This window comes from Homo sapiens, chromosome 4, assembly GCF_000001405.40.
Source record: "Homo sapiens chromosome 4, GRCh38.p14 Primary Assembly".
Lineage (NCBI taxonomy): Eukaryota > Metazoa > Chordata > Mammalia > Primates > Hominidae > Homo > Homo sapiens.
In genome coordinates, this window is record NC_000004.12 from 89,535,506 (window position 1) to 89,558,167 (window position 22,662).

Consider the following 22,662-nt stretch of genomic DNA (forward strand, 5'->3'; position numbering starts at 1 on the left):
GTTTTTTAAAGTTCTTTTTTCTTTATTTTTGTCTGCCTGCATTGATTTGAGGAGTTGTCTTCAAACTCTGAGATTCTTTCCTCAGCTTGGTCAATTCCATTGTTAGTGCTTCCATCTGTGTTATGAAATTCTTGTCGTGAATTTTTCAGTTCCACAAGTTCAGTTTTGTTCTTTCTAAAAATGGCTATGTTGTCTTTCAATTCTGGGATCATTTTACTCTTTTTCATGGGTTGGGTTTCAACTTCCTCCTGTATCTCATTGAGCTTCCTTGCCATCCTGATTCTGAATTCTATGTTTGTCATTTCAGCCATTTCTATCTTGTTTGGAACCATTGCTGGAGAGTTAGTGTGATCATTTGAGGGTAAGGTGACACTCTGGATTTTAGAGTTGCCAGAGTTCTTACACTGGTTCTTTCTAATCTGTGAAAGCTGATATTTCTTTATCCTTTGAAGTTGCTGTCCTTTGGATGAGGCTTTCTGTTTTTATGTTCTTTATTTCCTTGAGGGTTTGACTATGGTGTAATTTGGATGTAGCTGATTGTCTTCATTTCTGGATGCTTTCAGAGGACCAAGGCTCAGCTTGGCACTCCTGGGCTGTGTGATCTAACTCTGGGGGGCTGGGACTAGGCACATGGGTTTGTCCTCTGGATCCCCACAGAGGTCAAGGACAAGCTGCATTGGAGGGGTCAAGGTGCTCCCAGGCTGCTGGCAAAATTGCTATGTCAGGGGCTGCTGACAAAAGCACTCCTGTGGGGGCGCAGGAATCTCTTGTTAAAGCACTTCAGTGGGGTGATGGGGCATCCATTGAAAGCACTCTGCTAGGGCAGCAGGGATGCTAGCACAAGTACTCCTATGAGGGGCCATCATCAAAAACACTCTGGTGGGGCACTGGGGGCCCCCTGCAAAAGCACTCTGGCTGGGCAGTGGGATCCTATTGCAAAAGCTCTCTGGTGTAGTAACACAAGTACCAGCGAAAGCACTCCAATGGGGGGCCATCAGCAAAAGCACTCCAGTGGATTTCCTTCATGCCATAAATGGGGAAATTGAGGTACAAAGAAGTTAGTTATTTTGGCCAAGCTTTTATGGCTAGTATAATCAGAGCTTGCATTAAAACCAAGGTTTGTCTGACTCTAAATTCTATTCTGGGAAGCATTAGGTAAAACATTACAGGAAAAACTTTTCTCTTTGAACCCTCAGGAAAACACAAAGATATGTGTGTGCACACAGGAAAGACTATATGAGGACACAGAGAGAAGGTGCCCATCTGCAAGCCAAGGAGAGAGGCCCCAGAGGAAACCAAGCCTGTTAATACCTTGATCCTTGCCTTCTAGCCTCCAGTACTAAGAAAAAATAAGTGTCTATGTACTTAAGTCTGTGGTATTTTGCTATGACAGACCTAAGAGAAGAAAATACTCATAAAGTGACTTTTTGTGTCCTCCTAATATCACTGTGATATCAGACACTTACACAATTCTATCCTCTGTCCTGGAAAAGGGAAATCATCATCTCCCTCGTATTGACATATATTCATGTAAAAGACTATGAGTTATTTTGAAATAAGATTAGATACCAGTTGGCAATTAAGCTAGATTTTTTTGTGTGCTTGTGTGTGTATGTAAAGAAAAAGCCAGTATTGAGCCAAAGGACTTTCTTCAGGTATGGTATGTTCCTGAATAAATAGGCAAATAATTTGCAATTCACAGGAGAAGAAATGAGTCTAGGAAGACTAATGAACCTAGAGTTGGATGAAAAAGCTTCAAGTTCTTTAAACTGAAATTGCTTTTAGGGAGGTGAGATTCTCTTATAGCATTAATATAAACCACTTCAGGACTAAGAAATAGGCAAATTATTGTTTGTTTGCTTATGAGCCATAAAAATAAGAGTAAAGCCAACATGTAATTTTTCTTTACATTGTTAAGAGTGCAGTTTTTCTCTCTATTCATTATACTTTTGGCAAACATTGCTGTTTGCCTTCCCAACTCCATAAATCATTTTTTCCGTAACAATAACAAAATTTATCTACCCAACTCCATAAACTACTTTTTCTCCACTAACAGCAAGAAAATTGGGATACTTTTGTTCCCAGTTAAAAATACTCAACCTTTTATACTCCATTGGTGCTAAAGTTGGCTCTATTATCCTGTTCTGGTAAATGTCACATAACTAGAAATATACTAGCTAGGATTTCGAAGAAATCCATTGTTTCCCTGACTATTTTAAAGTGAAAAACTCAAATAGAATGTATCTTTTGCTTTTCTAACTTCCACCTTTTTCTGCCTGGAACAATGATGATATACCTGAAGATACAGCTGCCATCTTGCAATCATGAGGAGAAATTTGCATATAAAGAAGTCTAAAGCAGAAAGTTAGAAGGAGCTTCAGTTTTTGTTTCTTTTAACACCTGCACCAACTCTTGGCTTACCTCTAGCTGTCTTGTTATGTATAAAATTAATTCCCTGATTAATTCACTGTAATAGATTATTCTCCCACATTTGCCAAACATATTTCTAGTCAATATGTGGACTATTTCCCCCTTTGTTTTTGAAAGAACATCCTGTTGAAACACTTCAATATTAGAGTGCTGGAGCGACATGGAGATACACTGTTTTGGATTCTCAGATGTACTGTTGTTTCAAATAAAAGTCAATTTTTTTTTTTGTAGATTTCTTACTGGAGGACAAATAATGGTCTAAAAGATATGAATACTTTAGCACACTTTATTGTGAAAATTCATGTATATTCCAATGATTGAAAACATTAAAAAATAACCACTGGTTTTATTATATTGGTTTGACTTGCAAATACACATTGCTTCTTTTTAAATTTCAACATGCCACACCCTCTTCCTCCAGGTTTCCTCTATTGCTCATGTCCTCATGTTCCTAGATTAAGAGAACAAATTGTTTTATTGTGATGGGCAGACACAAAGGGAGTACTTAGCATTTTAGAAAAATTCCATGTAAATTAAACAGGGAAGTATAGTTTGAACAGAACATACAGGCTATATTTTAGACACCTGGTTTAATTATGACAATTTTTTTTATTTTCTTAAGGTTCACCTTGAATCACTTTGGGCCTTACCTTTAGAAGTGGTGTTTATTTTCATGGTCAGATTATAGAAAATATCTGAAGGTGATTGTGCATTAATGGAAGTTCCTTCTGGTATGGCATCTAGGTTTTATCAGTGTAACTCAGTAAATACTAAAGCAGAGATATATTCAGCTCTTGAGTCACTTGATTTAGAATCTTCCATTCATGCACATGTAAATATATGAACATGTGTGCACGTATGCATACACACTGAGGACATACAATCTATCAGTTCTGTGTTTGCATGCAGACATTTGGAAGAGGTTAGGCACTGGAGAAAGAATAATGGTATTCCAATATATTTTATATTGTATTCATATAAAAGAACTTAAAGGGCTTCATAAGTCTGCATTAGTGAAAGATAGTGGAGGTTAAGTTTCTTCACAATTGTGTATAATTTTATGTTATCTCTGCTGAGTAATGTATTTATGTGAGCATACTTGAATATTGTTATGTCTGATGTTTTCCAGTGAAAGGAAATCCTTGCAATAAACCCGAGTCACAGGAAGAACTAGGGCTACATTCCATTTTCCATTCTGGTTTTTTGGCTTGGGTCTTCCCAAACATGGAAATAAACAGCTTATCTGAACTAAAACACTGACCTTTCTTGGAGCAAGTTTTGTGATTAAATATTAGTTTTATACAAGTTCCTTTCTGAAAAACATAGACATTTATATAGAACCAAGAGTAGATTGATAATGGTAAGGCACAAAAATGTTATGTGTTTTAAAGTTAGTACTTTGATTTTCCATGGATAAACCTTTACGAAGTTAAATATTTCAGGTCATCCTTAGCCGTAAGTGTAAAGTTGTAAAATGTTATTTCTAGCATCTTCCTACTTATCCTGTTTATTTTCTTTTTCTCTTCTGGGTTTTCACCTCCTCTTCTCTTTCTCCCCACTATCACCACCAAAATACCCTTGCCCTCCTCCCCTCTGGAGGCCACATGATATGTGTAATGACTGCAGAATGGCCTTGTAATTATGCCCTCTATCTGAGGTCCTTATCTTAGACTGATTTATTTAGATGAGTCACACGATTTCACTGATGCGCTTTCCTAACATGCAAGCTGGGGTAAATAACAGTGACTTTGCAAAGTTGTGAGTTTTCCCAAAGATTCTCATAAAATGCCTGCCACATGGTAACTCTGACTCAAGATTATTATTATCCAGGCAGTCTCACCCAAACTACATTCATACCTCAAAATTATTCTGTGCCTTCCCTAATCAGCAGTTCCATTTCCACTGTGACTTCACATCAGAAAACTAAGTGAGGAAAGGATTAGACGAACTAATTTAAATATGAATTACTTACAACAATGTGTAGCCAGATTAATGAATGATGTGAATTTGATGAGACACAGATATGAAGTTGTTTCTCTTTTTCTTTTAAAAGTCATTTCCTTCAACTGTTCTGTAGAATTTTCATTTCTATCCCTTAGTGACATTCTAAAGGAAATCCCATTCTTTCTCATCACTCTCAGCTATTTGACATCAACCTAGCTAGCTTATATCCAATTTAAATCTTTCTCTTCCTTCCATCAGCAACAAGATTTTGGCTCATAAGACTTGGAATTGAAAAGTATCAAGATCTGTTGCAGAAACTCTTCCCCATCCTCCCTTTCCTGAAGCTCTTTTTCTCCTGGTGGGTTAAGAACAGAGAAGTGAGAAGCAAAGAAAAGTTCAGTCAAATGACTCATTTAATTGGGGTTGTTCTTTTCCTGTCTTGACTTTGACAGTTTCCCTGGTGATGACCTCTGAGTGAAAACCAAATGCTGATTCTCTTGTGGGGTGCATGTGTGAATTCTTTAGGAGACCCTGCAGAGGCCTCCCAACTATACAGTTCTGTGCCACAGAAGATCTGCTCTGCCTTGAACTCTTCTGCCCAATGAATCCCTAGGGATAGAATTTCAGATGGTAAGGCAGCTGTCCAAGGTGATTTAGGGTGGGGGCTTGGACAACTTTTGCTATCGTATCCCAAATTATAGCACTTGGGTAGGCAGTGTCTAATGTATGTATCCATTTCTGAATCCATTCTTGCCTCAGAGGATTGTGTTTGCACTGTCTTTATTTGTCTTTACTTACTTCAAAGAGTGTTGTGGCAGAGGCAGGCACAGCATTTGAAAAGTGAAGGAATTAAAATGACTCTAACAATGATGAGGGAAACTGGCAGAGTTTGGAACCAACAAAAGCTAAATCTCAGGGACTAAGTACTCTTAGAATTTCTAATTGCATCTGCTCTGAAAATGTGAAATCCCCTATGAAGAAGGAGAGTTTACCTCTTGGAGACTTAAAGATGTAGTCAGATTTGTGCTACTGAGAAGGTAGTGTTCACGTTTAACATCTGTGCTGTCCAAAATGCCCCAGCCTCTTACATTCCAGTCGTGTGGCTGAGCAAGGTTACCAGTGAGGCTCCAACTGAAATTATTATCACCCTTACAACAAATTATAAGCAAATACTCATTATGAGAAAGCTGTTAAGAGAAAGCATAATTTTACCACAATGTAGATCTCAAAGTTTAGGTCATTCCACTTACTTGTTTAGCTTTTAACAAGAAATTAAAGTTCCAGTTTCTTTCGTACAGTGTATAAAACCTTATATTTAAAAAATAAGAGCCAATATACCTTACTTAGAAAGGGGGTTACATCTTTACTATGGCAAGGGCAAGATGAAATACTCTTCCTCTCAGTAGCTACTAAAACAAGATATTTTTATATATTTATTTTTCTCTCTGTGTACCCACAGTGTAGTGAAATGCCAACACTCTCCTTAAGTCATTTTTACAACCTTCAGTATGAGCAGCTCCATTGAAAATTATCTATAAAAGTGCAATTAGAATTTGTGATCTCCCTCTGGGTCACTAAAACTTAGATTTAGATTGTCTAGGGGATGGCAACAAGTTGGCAGAATAGGGCTTTCCAGTGCCCATCCCCCAACGGAAACATCAATTTGAACCATTTTCCACACAAGAGAATACCTTCCCAAGAGCTAAGGAAACCGGGTGAGACATTACAGCACCTTAGTGTAGCACAGAAATAAGAAAAGACACATTGAAGAGGGCAGGAAGGACAGATTCACATGATCCAACTATCCCTCCCCAAACCCTAGGCAGCACAGCGTGGAGAGAGAAACCCACACTTGGAGGAAGGAGAGAGAAGTGTGCACTGGATTTTGCCTTAAATATAACACCAGACCTGCCACAGTAAAACCCAGAACTGGGCAGGTGTCTATGGCCTCAGACCCCAGGCTGACACACTTGGACTGGGCCTGCAGGCCCACCTCACCACCAGGCTAACCTAATTGGCCTCAGAGTTTGAGGCTGCCCCCAAGACTCACTCAATCTCTTTGAGCTGGCCCTGGAAGTCATGGGCTCTGGACTGCCCTAGCAGCAGGTTGGCCTCTGTAGCTGCAGGCTCAGGACCATCCCAGCACTAGGCCAGCACTCAAAGCCCTAGTCATCAGGCCAGCTGCAGTGGGCCCAGCCTCCAGGCCAGCCCCTGCAGATATTGGCTCCAGAACTAACCCCAAGCTCAGAACAGCCCAGAGACAGGTTGGCCCACAGAGTCCCAGGCTTCAGGCCTGCTTTAGTGCTGAGTCAGCACCCCTAGTCTCAGGTACCAGGCTGACACCCAAGGACACAGGCTCCAGTCCTGCCCAGTCCCAGGCCAGATCCTGCAATACCACCCTGCAGGCTGGACCCTGTGGCCATGCACTCCACTAGGCTGAGGGTCCAGGCCTACTTTACAAGACCCAGGGTACAAGCTCATACCAGTTAACCCCAGCACTGAGCCAGACCTCATAGACACAGGTCCAGGACTGCCCCTGTGGACCCAGATTTATGTCCACTTCCCACAGCTCTAGGCCCCAGCTCAGTCTCTATGGCTCCAGGCTTCAGGCCAGCAACTGCAATCTCAGGCTCCAGACCAACCAACCCCCACAGATTCAGGCTCTATGCTTGCCCCAGTATAAGGCCAAGCCCTAGCTACAGTGAACCTAGGGTCCAGGCCCACCTGAACAGACCTGGGTGTGAGGCTGGCCCTCAAAGATTGAGGCTCCAGGATGACTCCTGCAGACCCAGGCTCCAGACAGCCCCCATGGACTCAGGGTCTAGGCTTGTCCCCATGGACTCAAGCTACATGTCCATTCTGGTGGACCCAAGTGCTGGGACTATTCTGGTGCCTCTAGATTTAGGCTCAAGGCTCACCCATGTGCCAAGTCAGCCCCTATGGATCAAGGCTTTGGGTTGGTCCCTAGGGATACAAGCTCTAGGCCTGCCCTCATAGGCCTAATCAACAAGTCTGTCCCAGTGGATTCAGGTTCCAGACTCAACCCCAAGGACCCAGACACCAGACCTACCCCCACCTGATAACCCACAATCTAGACCAGCCTGCTCAAGAGCTTCAAAAATAAACCTGCCCACAGGCCACACCAGACAGTCTATCCAGAATCTCTGGATGGACTGACTGGTTTTTAAGGGCTTTCCTAGAAAAAGCTAGTATGCAAAAACTAGGATAAATTTCTGCTTCTACAAATGTGCCACAGACAAAAATACAAGTCAACAAGCAACATGAAAAACGAAGTAGACATAGTACCACCAAAATAACGCAAAAAAGACCCCATAGAAATGTAGATATACAAACTGCAACACAAAGAATTCACAATAATTGTTTTAAGGAAGCTTAGCAAGCTTCAAGAAAATACAGAGGGACAATTTAATGAAAGCAGGAAAACAATAAATGAACAAAACTAGAAATTTAATAGAGAGATGGAAATTATTTAAGAAAATCAAACAAATTCTGAAGCTGAAAAATGCAATGAATGAAATGGGAAAATTCAATAGAGATTATCAGCAGCAGAACTGATCATGCAGGAGAAAGAATCTGTGATTGTGAAGATAGGTTATTTGAAAATATGCACTGAAAAGAAAAAGAAAAAATAAATAGGAATGAAGAAAGCTTACAAGACTTATTGGACAGTATCAAAAGAGCAAATGTTTGGGTCATTAACATTCAAGAAGGAAGACAGAGACAAAGCTGGTAGAAAGTTTATTTAAAGAAATAATACCAGAAAAAATTCCAAATGCAGAAAAATATAAATACCTAAATATAGGAAGGTCAAATTTCTTCAGTTAGATTCAGTCCAAACAAGACTATATCAGGACATATTACAATCAAATTGAGAAAATTCAATGGCAAAACGTATCTTAAAAGCAGCAAGAGAAAAGAAGCAAATCACATATAAGGTAGTTCCAATATGGTGTGGCAAATTTCTTAGCAGAAATCCTGCAAGCCAGGAAAGAGCAAAATGATATATTCAAAGTGCTGAAGGAGAAAAATTGCCAAGCAAAAATATTCTACCTGGCAAAGCTATCCTTCAGAAATGAAGAAGAGATCAAGACTTCTCCAGGCAAACAAAAACTGAGGGAGTTTATCACCACCAGAACTGTCTTACAAGAAATGTTAAAGGAAGACCTGAAGAAGCAAAAAGACAAGGATGCTAATTGGTATATGAAAGCATGAAACTCACTGTTAAAAGTAAATACACAAATTCAGAATACTCTCATGCTATAATAATTGTTAAATTACTTATATCTTTAGTATAAAAGTTAAAAGAAAAAACTTTTTAAAAAAGCAATAAAAACAATAACTTATTAAGGGATACACAATATAAAAATACATATTGTAAAATCAAAAATATAAAATGTAGGGTGGGGGCTAAAGTAAAAGTGTAGATTTTTAAATGCAATCAAAGTTAAATTATGATCAGCTTAAAATTGCCAGTTATAATTACAAGATGTTTTATGTAAGCCTCACAGTAACCATGAAGCAAAACCTAATAATTGATATGTGAAAGATAAAAAGGAATCAAAGCATACCACTACCGAAAATCACCTAATCACAAAGTAAGACAACAGGAGAGGAAGATGAGAACAAAGTATCTGCAAAACAACCAGAAAACAATTTTTTAAATGGCAATAGTAAGTCCTAGCAATAATTAAATTAACCAATCAAAGATACAGAGTACCTGACCAGATTAAAAAAATAAGATCTAACAGTATGCGCTCTATAAGAGACTCACTTCACCTTTAAGGGAACACATAGACTCGAAGTGATGGAAAAAGATGTTTCATGCAAATGGAAACCAAAAGAGAGTAGGGGAAGCTATACTTATATCAGACAAAATAGACTTTAAGTCTAAAGCTGTAAAAAGAGACAAAGAAAGTCATTATATATTAATAAAGGAATCAATTTATCAATAGGACAAAATAATTGTAAATATATATGCACCCAACATTAAGTCGCCCAAATATGTAAAGCAAATATAAATAGATTGGAAGGAAAGACTAACTGTAACACAATAATTAGCAGGAGACTTTAACGTATAAGTTTCAGCGATGGACAGATCGTTCGAACAAAAAATCAATAAGGAAACGTTGAACTTAAACTAAACTTTAGACCAAATAAACCTAACACATATACATAACATTCCATCCAACAGAAGTATAATATGCATTCTGCTCAAGTCCATATGAAACATTCTCCAGGATATATTATATGTTAGGTCACAAAACAATCCTTAAGAAATTTAAGAAGATTGAAATGGTATCAAGTATCTTTTCTGACCACAATGGTATGAAATTACAAGTGAGTAACAGGAAGAATTTCAGAAAATTAAAAGATACAGTAGTCCTCCATTATCTGTGGGACACATTCCACAATCACCAGTGGATACCTGAAGCTGCAGATTTCCAAAATGCCAGTGACTCAAACTTTTGGTCTGTTGATGCTGTCTCATAATTCCTGTAAGCTTTCTTCATTTTTAAAAATGGTTTTCTTTTTCCTCTTCTCACTGTATATTTTCAAATAACTCATCTTCAATTTTGCAGATTCTTTCTTTTGCTTGACTAATTCTGCTGCTGATAGTCTCTGTTTCACTTTTCACTTTGTTCATTGTATTTTTCAGCTCCAGAACCTTATATATACTATGTTTTTTTCTGTGCATACATACATATGATAAAAGTTAATTTATAAGTTAGGCACAATAAGAGATGAACAAAAATATAATAAAATAGAACAATTTTAACAATATATTATAATAAAAGTTATATGAATGTCGTCTCTTTCTCTCTCTCAAAATATCTCAATATTTTCATACCTATATTGACCATGGCAAACTGAAACTTGAATAAGGCCTGATTACTATACTTGGAAATTTACAAATATGCTTCTGAACAAACAATGAGTTAAGAAGAAATTAAAAGTATCTTGAGACAAATAAATATAGATAAATAACATATCAAAACTTACGGGATGTAACAAAAGCAATTCTAAGATTAGAAGTTTATAGCAGTGAACACCTAAGGCAAAAAAGAAGAAAGACCTCAAAAAAAAAAAAAAAAAGGAACTCGAAGAATAAGGATAAGCTAAGCTGAAAGTTAGTAGATGGAAGGGAATAATTATCAGAGCAGAAATAACTGAAATAGAGCATAAAAGAATAGGAAGGATTAATGAAACTAAGAGTTGGTTTTTTGAAAAGAGAAATAAAATTGACAAAACTTTAGCAAACTAAATTAAAGAAGAGAGAAGACAAATATCAGAAATGAAAGAAAGACATTACAGCTGATACCACACAAATGCAAAGAATCATAACAGACTACTATGAATAATTATATACCAACATATTGGATAACTTAGAAGAAATGGATAAATTCTTAGACACATACAACCTACCAAGACTAAATCATGAAGACCTAGAAAACCTGAACAAAACAATAATAAATAAGGAGATTGAATTACTATTAAAAAGTCTCTAATAAAAGAAAAGTGTAGGACCTGGTGGCTTTACCACTGATTTTTTTTTTAAGTGAAAGCAAGTTTATTAGGAACGTAAAGGAATAAAGAATGACTACTCCATAAGCAGAGCAGCCTTTACCACTGAATTCTATCAAACATTTAAAGAAAAACTAATACCAATCCTACTGAAACTCTTTCCCAAAAATGGAGAAAACAGAATACTTCCAAACTCATTTTATGAGACCAGCATTACCCTGATACCAAAGCCAGACAAGGAAATGAAATTTCAGGCCAATATTCCTGAAGAACATCGATGCAAAAATTCTCAACGAATACTAGCAACCCAAATTCAATAGCACATTAAAAGAATAATTTACTGTGATCAAATGGAATTCATCACAGGGATATAAGAATGGTTCAACATTTGCATATCTATAAATGTGACTCACCACATTAGCAGAATGAAGGACTGAACCATGTGATCATCTCAATAGATGCAGAGAAAGCATTTGACAAAATTCAACATCCTTTCATAAGAAAAAATTCTCAACAAATTAGGTATAAAAGGAATGTATCTCAACACAACAAAGGTCATATTTGACAAACCCACAGGTCAATATCACACTGGTGAAAAGTTGAAAGCTTTTTCTCTAAGATCAGAAGAAAGAAAATGATGCCCACTCATCGCCCTTTCTATTGAACATAGTACTGGATGTCCGAGTCAGAGCAATTAGCCAAGAGAAAGAAATGAAGCATATCTAATTGGAAAGAAAGAAGATATTTTGTCCTTGTTTGCAGACAACATTATTTTATATATATGCGACCTTAAAGACCCTACCAAAAAAAACTGTTAAAACTAATACACAAGCTCAGTAAAGGGATTTGCAGGATACAAAATCAACATATGAAAATCAGTTGCATTTCTACACATTAACAACAAACAATCTGAAAAAAGAAATCAAGACAACAATTTCATTTACAATAGCTCCAAAAACTTTAGAAATAAATTTAACCAAGGAGATGAAAGTCCTGTATACTGAAAACTATAAAATATTGATGAAAGAAATTGAAAAAATCACAAACAAATGGAAAGATAATTCCATTTTGTTAATGGATTAGAAGAATTAATATTGTCAAACTGTTCATACTACGCAATGCAAGCTACAGATTCAATACAATCTCTATCAAAATTCCAGTAACATTTTTCACAGAAATAGAAAAACAATTCTAAAATTCATATGGAACTACAAATCACCCTGAATAGCCAAAGCAATCTTTAGCAAAAACAACAAAGCTGGAGACATCACACTACCTGACCTCAAAATACTGTACAAAGCTATTGTAATGAAAACAGCATAGAACTGGCATAAAAATACATACATACAACAGTGGAACAGAATAGAGTCCAGAAATCCACACATTTACAGTCAACTGGTTTTTGACAAAGGTGCCAAGAACACACAATGGGGAAAGGACAGTCTCTTCAATAAGTAGTATTAGGGCAACTAGACATCCATATGCAGAAGAATGAAATTATACCCTTGTCTCATATGATATACAAAAGTCAACCCAAAATGGATTAAAGACATAAACATAAGATCTGAAAATGCAAGACTACCAGAAGAAAACATAGGGAAAAACTCCATTACATTAGTCTCGCCAATGAGTTTTTGGATTTGACCCCAAAAGTGCAGGCAACAAAAGCACAAATAAACAAAAGAGATTGTATCAAACTAAAGGCTTTTGCACAGCAAAAGAAACAGCAGAGTGAACAGACAACCTATGGAATGAGGAAGTATTTGCAAACCAGACATCTCACAAAGGATTAATATCCAAAATGTAAAAAATTCAAACAACTCAATATCAAGAAAACAAATAACCCAATTAAAAGAGGGACACAGAACTTGAATAGAGATTTCTCAAAAGGAGACACACAGGCTGGGCGCAGTGTCTCACGCCTGTAATCCCAGCACTTTGGGAGACCGGGGAGGGTGGATCACGGGGTCAGGAGTTCGAGACCAGCCTGACCAACATGGTGAAACCCCGTCTCTACTAAAAATACAAAAATTATCTGGGTGTAGTGGCACGCGCCTGTAATCCCAGCTACTTAGGAGGCTGAGGCAGGAGAATCGCTTGAATCTGGGAGGCAGAGATTGCAGTGAGCCGAGATCACACCACTGCATTCCAGAGACATACAAAGGAGACATACAAATGGCCAATATGTATAGGAAAAATGCTCAATATCACTAATCATCGGGGAAATGCAGATTCAAACCAGAATGAGATATCACCTCACACTTCTTATAATGGCATTTATCAAAAATCATGAAAGATAACAAGTGTTCGTGAGGATTTAGAGAAAAGGGAACTCCTGTACTCTGTTGGCGGGAATGTACTAACTTAGACTACTTACATGTACTTATATGTGAGTTAGTACATTCCCCCCAACAGTGTACAGGTGTTATGGAAAACATTATGGACATTCCTCAAAAAATTTAAAATGAAACTACAATATCATCCAGCATTCCCACTACTGAGTATATATCCAAAAGAAATGAAATTGGTATGTCAAAAAGATACCTGTAGTCCCATGTTCATTGAAGCACTATTTACAATAGCCAAGAGGTGGAAACAACCTAAGTGTCCATCAGCAGCTGAACAGATAAAATGTCATGTACATGCATAACTGAATACTATTCAGCCTTAAAAGAAAAGGAAATCTTGTCATTTGCAACAATATGGATGAACCAGAGGACATCATATTAGGTGAAATAAGCCAGACACGGAAAGACAAATAACTATATGATCTCACTTACATATGGAATCTAAAAAAGTTGAACTCATACAAGTAGAAAGTAGAATGATGGTTACCAGTGGCTGGAAAGGGTGGGGAGTTAGGGAAATGTTGCCAAAGGATCCAAAATTTCAATTAGGAAGAATAAGTTCAAGAGTCCTATTTTTACAACATGGTTAACTACAGTTAATGACAATGCATTGTATTCTTGAAAAGTCACCGAGAGAGTAGATTTAATTATTCTTATTACCAAAAAAGGTATATGATATAATGCGTATGTTAAGTAGCTTTATTAACCATTCCATAATGTAAATGTATTTCGAATCATGTTGTATATAATAAATATATACATTTTTGTCTTTTATTTTTTTGAGACAGGGTCTCACTCTGTCACCCAGGCTGGAGTGCAGTGGCACGATCTCGGCTCACTGCAACTTCTGCCTCCCAGGTTCAAGCGATTCTCCCACCTTAGCCTCCCAAGTAGCTGGGACTACAGGTGTGCGCCACCACACCCTGATAATTTTTGTATTTTTAGGAGAGATGGGATTTCACTGTGTTGGCCAGGGTGGTCTGAAGCTCCTGACTTCAAGTGATCCATCTGCCTTGGCCTCCCAAAGTGCTGAGATCACAGGCATGAGCCATAATTAATTTAAATATATAAATCAATAAAACTGCTATATTTAGGGTCATTTAGCTGTTTATGGGATAATCACATTTTAACTTGAAAGAATCTCACTTTGGACAACAGAGTTTTACTTTGTGTCCGAAAGCTTTCTTTTTCCTTTCTCTTTTTGTTTCCTGCTTAAACTGGCAAATTGCACTATGTTTATAATTTACCCTGATGCCCTTTGCCCTTCATGTGATTCATTTCCATCTGGCATTCTTTTCTAATTTCTTTCTTGAGAGTTATGAATTATTTTCTAGCTGTTTCTAATAACTGCCTTTAAATGGACATAAGCCACTGCCTAGATGTGTACCTGCTTCTAATAAACAAGTGAGTCAGGGCTCATTGTGCAAATGAACACAGCAGCATCTGGCCCATCACACAAACATTCCATTTCTCTCACAGGTTCATTATTTCTCTTTTGTCCATATTTAGTTAGTAAAGCCATATATTCAAAATGTAATTTTGACTTTTTGTCTATAGTAACAAAATATAAGAATAGAACTTTGTACAAACTATGCAGTCTACAGAAGGTAAAAATATATATTTTGATAAAAGTTTCAAAACCAAAATAAGTCCATACAAGGTCTGAAATCAGAGTGCATATTTCCAATAATAAAATAGATTTTTAAAAAATTTATGGAAGCTTGTGTTAACTCCAAAATGGATAATTGAGGGATTGAATCTTAAGAGTGCTTTTTAAAAGTACTTGAAAGGGTGGAAAAGGATTCCCTAGGAATATTATATAATTTTCAAATATAAAAATATAAAATTTAATTTCAACATAGAAATAGAACAGCATCTCAACAAAAAGAAAACAAATCTTTATCAAATTCAGTAGAGGTGTATTGAATACACATTTTGCTGAATGCTGAAAATGTTAAAGTCGACAGTTGGTCAACATGGATGTCATGTTATAGAAACAACATGTAAAAACAAAAATCTGAACTGTTATTAAATAAAGTTTAATTGTTCAACTTTTGTTATAATTTTAGAAATTGCATTTTAAAACTTGACATTATAGCACAGAAACATTTTTTTCAGCATTAACACCTGATAGCTTGCTCCTATGGTAATTATATTATACATTAGTGAGACTATAAATAGGCATTCATTTTCCACTGAGGCTAGAGGAGGAGCAACTTCTTTGGTCTAGCTCCTGCAGCCTAGGGTACAGATGATGTAGCAATATAACCATTATTCAACTTTCCCTACCTCTGTAATTCTAACTGACTCAGTTCCCCTCTTCTTGAGCTCCTGAGCGGGATGGTGATGATAAAATGATGCCAATGATGCAGCCTCACAAACTCTCTGTCTACCTGGAAAAAGATGTTTTCTAAACATTCTTTCGGAATATTTTCAGAAACAGTCTTGTAATTTTGGCTCTTGCTGATATTTTTATATCTACTATTTTCACAGGCATTTGCTGCTCCACTCAATCACTTGGGAAAAATTGTCCTTACTTTGGACTAGAACTTTTGCAATAGAACAATATGCTTGGCTTTTAGAATGACAATATTGTTCCGGAATTTTTAGCTGGCACTCAGATTTCTGTCTGCCTCTCATTGGCAAACATGACATTTCAGCAATTTCTCTAAAGAGGAATGACTGGGGGGTATGTACAGCAGGCATCATGTAAGAAAAACTCACACCTCACGACATATTTGTTTGATTTATTCAGCAGACTTCAGCAAAGGAAAGATGTGAAAGCAACCCTTGATTGTTGGTATGTCTGAAGATATTGGTATTGTGGTGGTATTACCTGCAAAGTATGTAATAAGGCTTGCTTTTATTTGCTCAGTCTTTGGATGTGTATTAGCTTTCATTCTATCTTGGTTGAACATCTTATATAAGTGTAAGATAAGGTAGTTCAAAATATCTTGATAACATGTAGCCTATTTTTGATTAAAGTCCATTTTCATTGCAATTTTACATTTATGATGATTACCAATATTTTAAAGAAAGTATTCAGGTGTTAAAAAGATAATCAAAGATGGATAAGTGAACAAACATTTGATAAAGTAAAGTTGAATATAGATGGTAGAATCTAGGTGGTAGACACATGATACAAAGTTTTAAAAACCTTTCTTCTTTTGGAAATTTACATAATAAAATGTTAGTTAAAATAATAAATCTAAACAACATGCCTTACATTTATACGGTAAGTTAGGATCTCTGGGGAGAGAAACTGAGGTTTGCAAATAGGAGGTTCATAGGGAGTGCTCATATGCAATACTTGTGAGGGATGGGGAAAGCAGGATTAGGCACAGAGAAAAGTTAAACTGTGATGCAGTTGCAAAAGCAGCCTCAGCTGATCCTAAGGGGATCCAGAAGCTGAGATGACTATTTAGAATACCAGTTGAGTCAAGGGGCCAAGGCCTTTGCACCCCGACTTCAAGCAGTTATTGGATGTAATCTGCTCACAAGGGGGAGAATGTAATCTTGGGCAAGGCAGGTTCTTCAGTGAGGGCAACTTACAGAAAAAGACTCAGCAATGAGCCTCAGCACTCATCATTCCTGGCTGCAGGAAGAATGAGTGTCTCAATAATGTACCGCAGTGTCACAGCAACTTATTGATATTTTTAATGTGTTAAAATAACTAGGTAGAAAGGTTACCTACATGATCATGTATCCATTGATCACACATGAGTTCATAGATGCCAGAACTGAACATGTAGCATTTAACTATTCATCTAAAGCTGAAAGGTAACACCAGATTTTGCTAATACCCACGCTGAAACAAAAGTTTAGTACCACCTATACACAATGGCATTTGAAAGATCAATGTTTTTTCAGAAAGTCAAGCTGTAAATTATTTTGAAAAACAAAGCAAATCAGTACATGTTAAAATAACTTTAAGTGGCTTGAGTACTGCCAGTGCCTCTTATAGAAACACGTCTATGTTTACTGTGTAAATCTCTGTTATTTTTTCCACTTATAATTGAGTCACCTCCTTACACAGCTTGGGCCCAGGAGTTTGAGACCACCCTAGACAACATAGTGAAACCCCATCTCTACAAAAAATAAAAATAAAAATAAATTAGCCTGACATGGTGATGCACACCTGTAGTCCCAGTTACTCTGGAGGCAGAGGTGGGAAGATCTCTTAAGCCTGGGAGGTCGAGGCTGCAGTGAGCTGTGACTGCGCCACTGCATTCCAGCATGACTGACAGAGCGAGACTCTGTCTCAAAAAAATATATATACTATTAAATATATTTATTCAGTATGATAACTGCCATTTCTTTTATGCCCACTGTGAATCAGAAATTGATCTTATGCTTTAAATAGATTACATGTATTTTACCCAGGAAATCTGCAAGATTAAGTATTACTATTCGTTGAGACATATAAAAGAGCTCTATGATTTTTCGACTTCTTTTTTCATAATTAAAACACTCTTCGTTGTGAAGCATGAACGGAAGGTGAGAAACTTGGCCATCATTATTAGCTACATATTATATGTGTGGGTAGTGGTCATACCTCATAACTCATCATTATGGCAATTATGTTTGAACTATAGTGGTCACAAAGATGATTTATTTTTCTTTCTTTTTAAAAGAAACTTTTATTTCAGGCTCAGGGGTGCATGTGCAGGTTTGTTATATAGGTAAACTCACGTCATGGGGTTTTTTTGTACAGATTATTTCATCACCCAGGTACCAAGCCTAGTACACAATAGTTACTTTTTTTGATCCTTTCCCTCCTCCCACCCTCCAATCTCAAGTAGGCCTCAGTGTCTGTTGTTCCCCTCTTTATCTTCATGAGTTCTCATCATTTAACTCCCACTTATAAGTGAGAACATGTGGTGTTTGGTTTTCTGTTATGGAGTTAGTTTGCTAAGGATAATGGCCTCTAGCTCCATCCATGTTCCTGCAAAAGACATGATCTCATTCTTTTTATGGCAGCATAGTATTTCATGGTGTATATGTACTACATTTCCTTTATCCAGTCTGTTATTGATGGGCATTTAGGTTGATTCCACATCTTTGCTATTGTGAATGGTGCTACAATGAATATAAGCATGTATATGTCTTTATGGTAGAACAATTTATATTCTTTTAGGTATATATCCATTAATGGGATTGCTGGGTCAAATGGTAGTTCTGTTTTTAGCTCTTTGAGGAATCAACATACAGCTTTCCACAATGGAATTTACATGCCCACCAACAGTGTATAAGTGTTTTCTTTTCTCCATAACCTCTCCAGCATCTGTTATTTTTTTGACTCTTTAGTAATAGCCATTCAGATTAGTGTGAGATGGTATCTCATTGTGGTTTAGATTTGCATTTCTCTAATGATCAGTAATATTGAGCTTATTTTCATATGCTTCTTGGCTGCATGTATGTCTTCTTTTCAAAAGTATCTGTTTATGTCCTTTGCCCACTTTTTAATGGGTTTGTTTGTTTGTTTTTTCCTTGTAAGTGTGTTTAATTTTTTTACAGATGCTGTATATTAGACCTTTGACAGATGCAGAGTTAATAAATATTTTATCTCATTCTGTAGGTTGTCTGTTTACACTGTTGATAGTTTCTTTTGCTGTGCAGAAGCTGTTAAGTTTAATGATACCTCATTTGTCAAGTTTTTGCTTTTGTCACCATTGCTTTTGGCATCTTCGTCATGAAATCTTTGCCTATGCCTATGTCCAGAATGGTATTGCCTAGGTTATGTTCCAGGGTTTTTATAGTTTGGGGTTTTACATTTAAGTTTTTAATCCATTTTGATTCTTTTTTAGTATGGTTAAGAAAATGTAACATGAGATCTACTCTCTTAATACAATTTTGGGTGTACATTACAGTGTTGTTAAGTATAAGCACAATGCTGTATAGCAGATCGCTAGAACCTTTTCATGTCGCATGTGCGAAACTTTATGCCCATTAACCAGCAACTCCACATTTTCTTCTCCCCCTTAATCCCTGACAATCACCATTCTACTCTCTGTGTTTATTTTTAATTATGTGTATGACAACTTTAGATATCTCATGTAAGTGGAATCATGAAGTATTTGTCTTTCTGCAACTGGCTTATTTCACTTAGCATAATCTTTTCAAGTTTCATTCATGTTATAGCATATGGTAGGATGTCTTAGTTTGTTTGAGCTGCTATAACAAAGTACTGTAAACTGAGTAATTTGTAAACAACAGAAATTTATTGTTCACAGTTCTGGAGACTGGGAAGTCCAACCAGCACACCAGTAGACTCAGTGTCCAGTGAGGGCTCACTCTCTGCTACAAAGATGACACCTTCCTAGCTGTGTCTTCACATTTGCATAAGGGGCAAGCAAGCTCACTCAGGCTTCTTTTCTAAAGGCATGAAATCCGTTCATTAGGGTGGATCCCTCAAGACCTAATCATCTCCCAAAGGCCTCACCTCTTAGTACCACCACATTGGAAATTAGGTTTCAACATATGAATTTATGGACAACATAAACATTCAAATGACAGCACAGTATTTTCTTCTTCTTAAAAACTGAAAAATATTCTACTACATTTTATATATATTGTCACTTTTTAACCATGCATTTGTTGATAACTTAGGTTATTCTCACCGCTTGGAAATTATAAACAATGCTGCAATGAACAGGGGAGTGTAGATGTCTCTTTGACATACTGATTTTATATTCTTTGAATATATACCTGAAGTGGAATTGTTCAATCATATGGTAATTCTATTTTTAATTTTTTAAGAAGTCTCCATACTGTTTTTCATAATGGCTGTATGAATTTACATTCCCAGTAACAGTGTACAAGGGTTTTCTTTTCTTCACATCCTTTTCAACACTTGTTTTCTTTCAACTTTTTGATAAAAGCCACCCTAAGAGGTGTGATATCTTACTGTGGTTTTTAATTTGTGTTTTCCTGATGATTTGTGATGCTGAGTATTGTTCCATATACCTGTTTTCTATTTATATGTCTTCTTTTAGAGAAACGTCTATTTAAGTCCTTTGCCCATTTTAAAATCCAGTTATTTGTTTTCTTGCTATTTAATTCTTTGTGTTCTTTATATATTTTAGATATTCATGCTTTATCAGATGTATGGTTTACAAATATTTTTTTCCAATCTGTAGTTTGTCTCTTCACTCTGATAATTGTTTTATAATCATGATAAGGATTTTTTTTTTACCACAATTTTGTTGTGTTCACTTTAAAGTGGTTCAATGAATCCAGATATTCATTAGATAGCATCATTGCTAGGGGCCTGTACATACAGCATAATGGTATGGCTGTAAGAAAAGTCTCTAGGTGGCCAGGCGCGGTGGCTCATGCCTGTAATCCCAGCACTTTGGGAGGCTGAGGCGGGTGAATCACAAGGTCAGGAGTTCAAGACCAGTCTGGCCAATATAGTAAAACCCTGTCTCTACTAAAAATACAAAAAATTAGCTGGGTGTGGTGGTGTGCACCTGTAATCCCAGCTACTCGGGAAGCTGAGGCAAGAGAATCGCGTGAACCGAGGAGGCGGAGGTTGCAGTGAGCCGAGATTGCACCATTGCATTCCAACCTGGGCAACAGTGCAAGACACTGTCTCAAAAGAAAAAAAAAAAAAAAACGGAGAGAGAGAGAAATCTCTAGGTTAAAGAAAATGGTGGCTTTCCTTCACTCTGCACCAGAGTACATTTTGAGGTGCCATGGAGCTGCAATTGCTAGTTCATGAATCACTGACAGAAAATTAAAAAATGTTGTGGTGATCTGTTTTTGGAAATTTTTTCTGTAATTATAGACAAGCAAAAAAGGAACCTTACTTAACTTTACATGTGGTATCTTGAAGTAGAAAGATTTACTTGTCAAGCAACTGTATTAATATTGTTGCTAACAGCAGAAAAAGGACATATAGAATTTCCTGATGAGATAGTCTACTGGGGCTCCCATTAAACTTAAGACATATTTCTTGAATACAAAAGCAGCCCTGGGCATCATTTAAATCACTTGGAGTGATGCAACTCAGAAGCCAGTGAATTCTGAAAGAGCACAGGTTCTTTCTTCCCTTAGTGATTGAGTCACTTCCTAACAGAACAGTGCAATTAAATGAGCTGATGTTCTGGATGTTACTTATGTCTGGGAATCAGGTTTGGGAAATACGTTCAGGGGCATCACTAATAAACATCACCTACCATACTGTGTGCCATGTAGTCTCTATCAGTACTACTGACATCTTAAATCTGGGATATCACAGTACTGGTGACAGTTTGGAAACAGGAAGCTAAAACTCAAGAGACTAAGTCAGTTGAAATGCTGATAATTGCCACTTGAAATGTAGTCCTGATTTGTTGATAAAAGAAAAATGCCTGAGGCATAGTGGAATTACCTCGGACCTTCTACCATCCTTTGAAAAGAAATCGTGGATACATGTGCATAGTATCTCTTTCAACGTGAAAGTTATTCTTAATCTCAAACTGAGGTAAGAGACATGCTGTTTGAAATGAAGTTAATTCTGAAGCATGAAGATGAGAATTACCTCCTGTAGGGTAATTTGGCCATAATTTGGGACTGTAGAAAAAGATAAGGAGGAGCAGGCAGGAGCTGAGAATAGTTGCTTAAAATAAATGTTCAGATCGAAGCTGGCTGTAAATGGAAGTAAACTCAAAGAACTGAGGATGGCTGGCTTTCAGTGGTCAGATGAAGGAAAAAGGAAAGACTCATCACAGCCTTACCATAATTACAGGCAGAGATTGAAAGTCCAAAAGGTACATAAGTTAGCATAAAGCTACCTGTTACACATCTGAACAGTGATTACAGTAATCAAATTTTGTTTAAGATACCTCAGAGACAAGTAGCAATGGTAGAAATTCTGTAATGGAACCTGCTGATAGTGCTCATCCACAGGGCTGGCCTGATAAATGCTGGGTTCAGTTATGGAGTAATTTCCTTTTTACTGTTGAGGAAATATAATTAAAAACAATATCTTCTCCCAACCCAGAAAACTTCTCCATTAAGGTAGTAAAGAAATAAACAGTTTTATTACTGAATGAGTGTGAAATGAGAATGTGATGCTTATCACAGGCAATCCACCAAAAGCTTGCAAAGAACTAGCAGAACAAAATCTTACCCTTTTATACTGTCACTATGTGTAATCCATCACACACATACATGTTTTCTCGGTAAATATTCAATAGTCTTCAAGTAAGAGGACTAGATAACACCATTTGTCATACATATTTCATCCTAGATTTCATCACATAGATTCATCTAGTAATTGGGGTGACCATCTGTGTAAACTGATTGGCTTTATCCAGAGGAAAAGCAAATTTCTTATATCTTTTTGACAGGAGGTAGATTTGTAACTTGGATCAAGGCACCCATGGAACATAATCTCATATCCTCCCACAGA

The 22,662-nt window shown here is 36.8% G+C and overlaps 1 protein-coding gene and 1 long non-coding RNA gene across 8 annotated transcripts in view, besides 1 other annotated feature; one reads left to right on the forward strand and one right to left on the reverse strand.

The window, feature by feature from the left end:
* Positions 1 to 2,702: 2,702 nt before the first annotated feature.
* Positions 2,703 to 15,819, reverse strand: LOC124900855 (uncharacterized). 3 transcript variants are annotated; one of them, XR_007058464.1, is made up of 5 exons: positions 15,555 to 15,819; positions 9,821 to 10,082; positions 5,367 to 5,522; positions 4,403 to 4,729; positions 2,703 to 2,881 (listed from the first exon to the last, which is right to left on the reverse strand). XR_007058464.1 is itself a non-coding variant. In XM_047416552.1 (3 exons), the coding sequence occupies exons 1-3, from the start codon at positions 15,681 to 15,683 to the stop codon at positions 2,825 to 2,827; spliced, it is 342 nt and encodes a 113-aa protein (XP_047272508.1). In that variant the 5' UTR covers positions 15,684 to 15,819; the 3' UTR covers positions 2,703 to 2,824. The 3 variants fall into 3 exon arrangements, 1 of the variants encoding a protein (XP_047272508.1); XR_007058463.1 differs by having other exon boundaries at positions 5,367 to 5,561; XM_047416552.1 differs by lacking the exons at positions 4,403 to 4,729; positions 9,821 to 10,082.
* Positions 6,161 to 6,669: an enhancer, noted in NCBI's record as "H3K27ac-H3K4me1 hESC enhancer chr4:90462817-90463325 (GRCh37/hg19 assembly coordinates)". NCBI's record gives its function as "activates a minimal SCP1, AML or CMV promoter by ChIP-STARR-seq in naive H9 embryonic stem cells {active_cell/tissue: H9 hESC(naive)}" and the evidence as "EXISTENCE:reporter gene assay evidence [ECO:0000049][PMID:30033119]".
* Positions 15,820 to 15,884: 65 nt separating the features above from the next.
* The window catches only part of LOC105377329 (uncharacterized), a 94,057-nt gene continuing 87,279 nt past the window's right edge, over positions 15,885 to 22,662 (forward strand). For all 5 annotated transcript variants that reach the window (XR_007058469.1, XR_007058468.1, XR_007058467.1 and 2 more), the window contains exon 1: positions 15,885 to 16,065. This is a non-coding gene — a long non-coding RNA (uncharacterized LOC105377329). The remainder of the gene's footprint in view (positions 16,066 to 22,662) is intronic.

What these genes read in the sequence shown, in the direction of transcription:
- LOC124900855 (XM_047416552.1), bottom strand. Translation starts at nt 15,683, where the DNA reads ATGTTTAGAAAACATCTTTTTCCAGGTAGACAGAGAGTTTGTGAGGCT. An exon ending in AGTCAGTTAGAATTACAGAG is followed by an intron (nt 5,523 to 15,554) that starts GTAGGGAAAGTT and finishes ATTTGTTGTAAG; the next exon opens with GGTGATAATAATTTCAGTTG. An exon ending in CATCTTTAAGTCTCCAAGAG is followed by an intron (nt 2,882 to 5,366) that starts GTAAACTCTCCT and finishes CTCTTAATCTAG; the next exon opens with GAACATGAGGACATGAGCAA.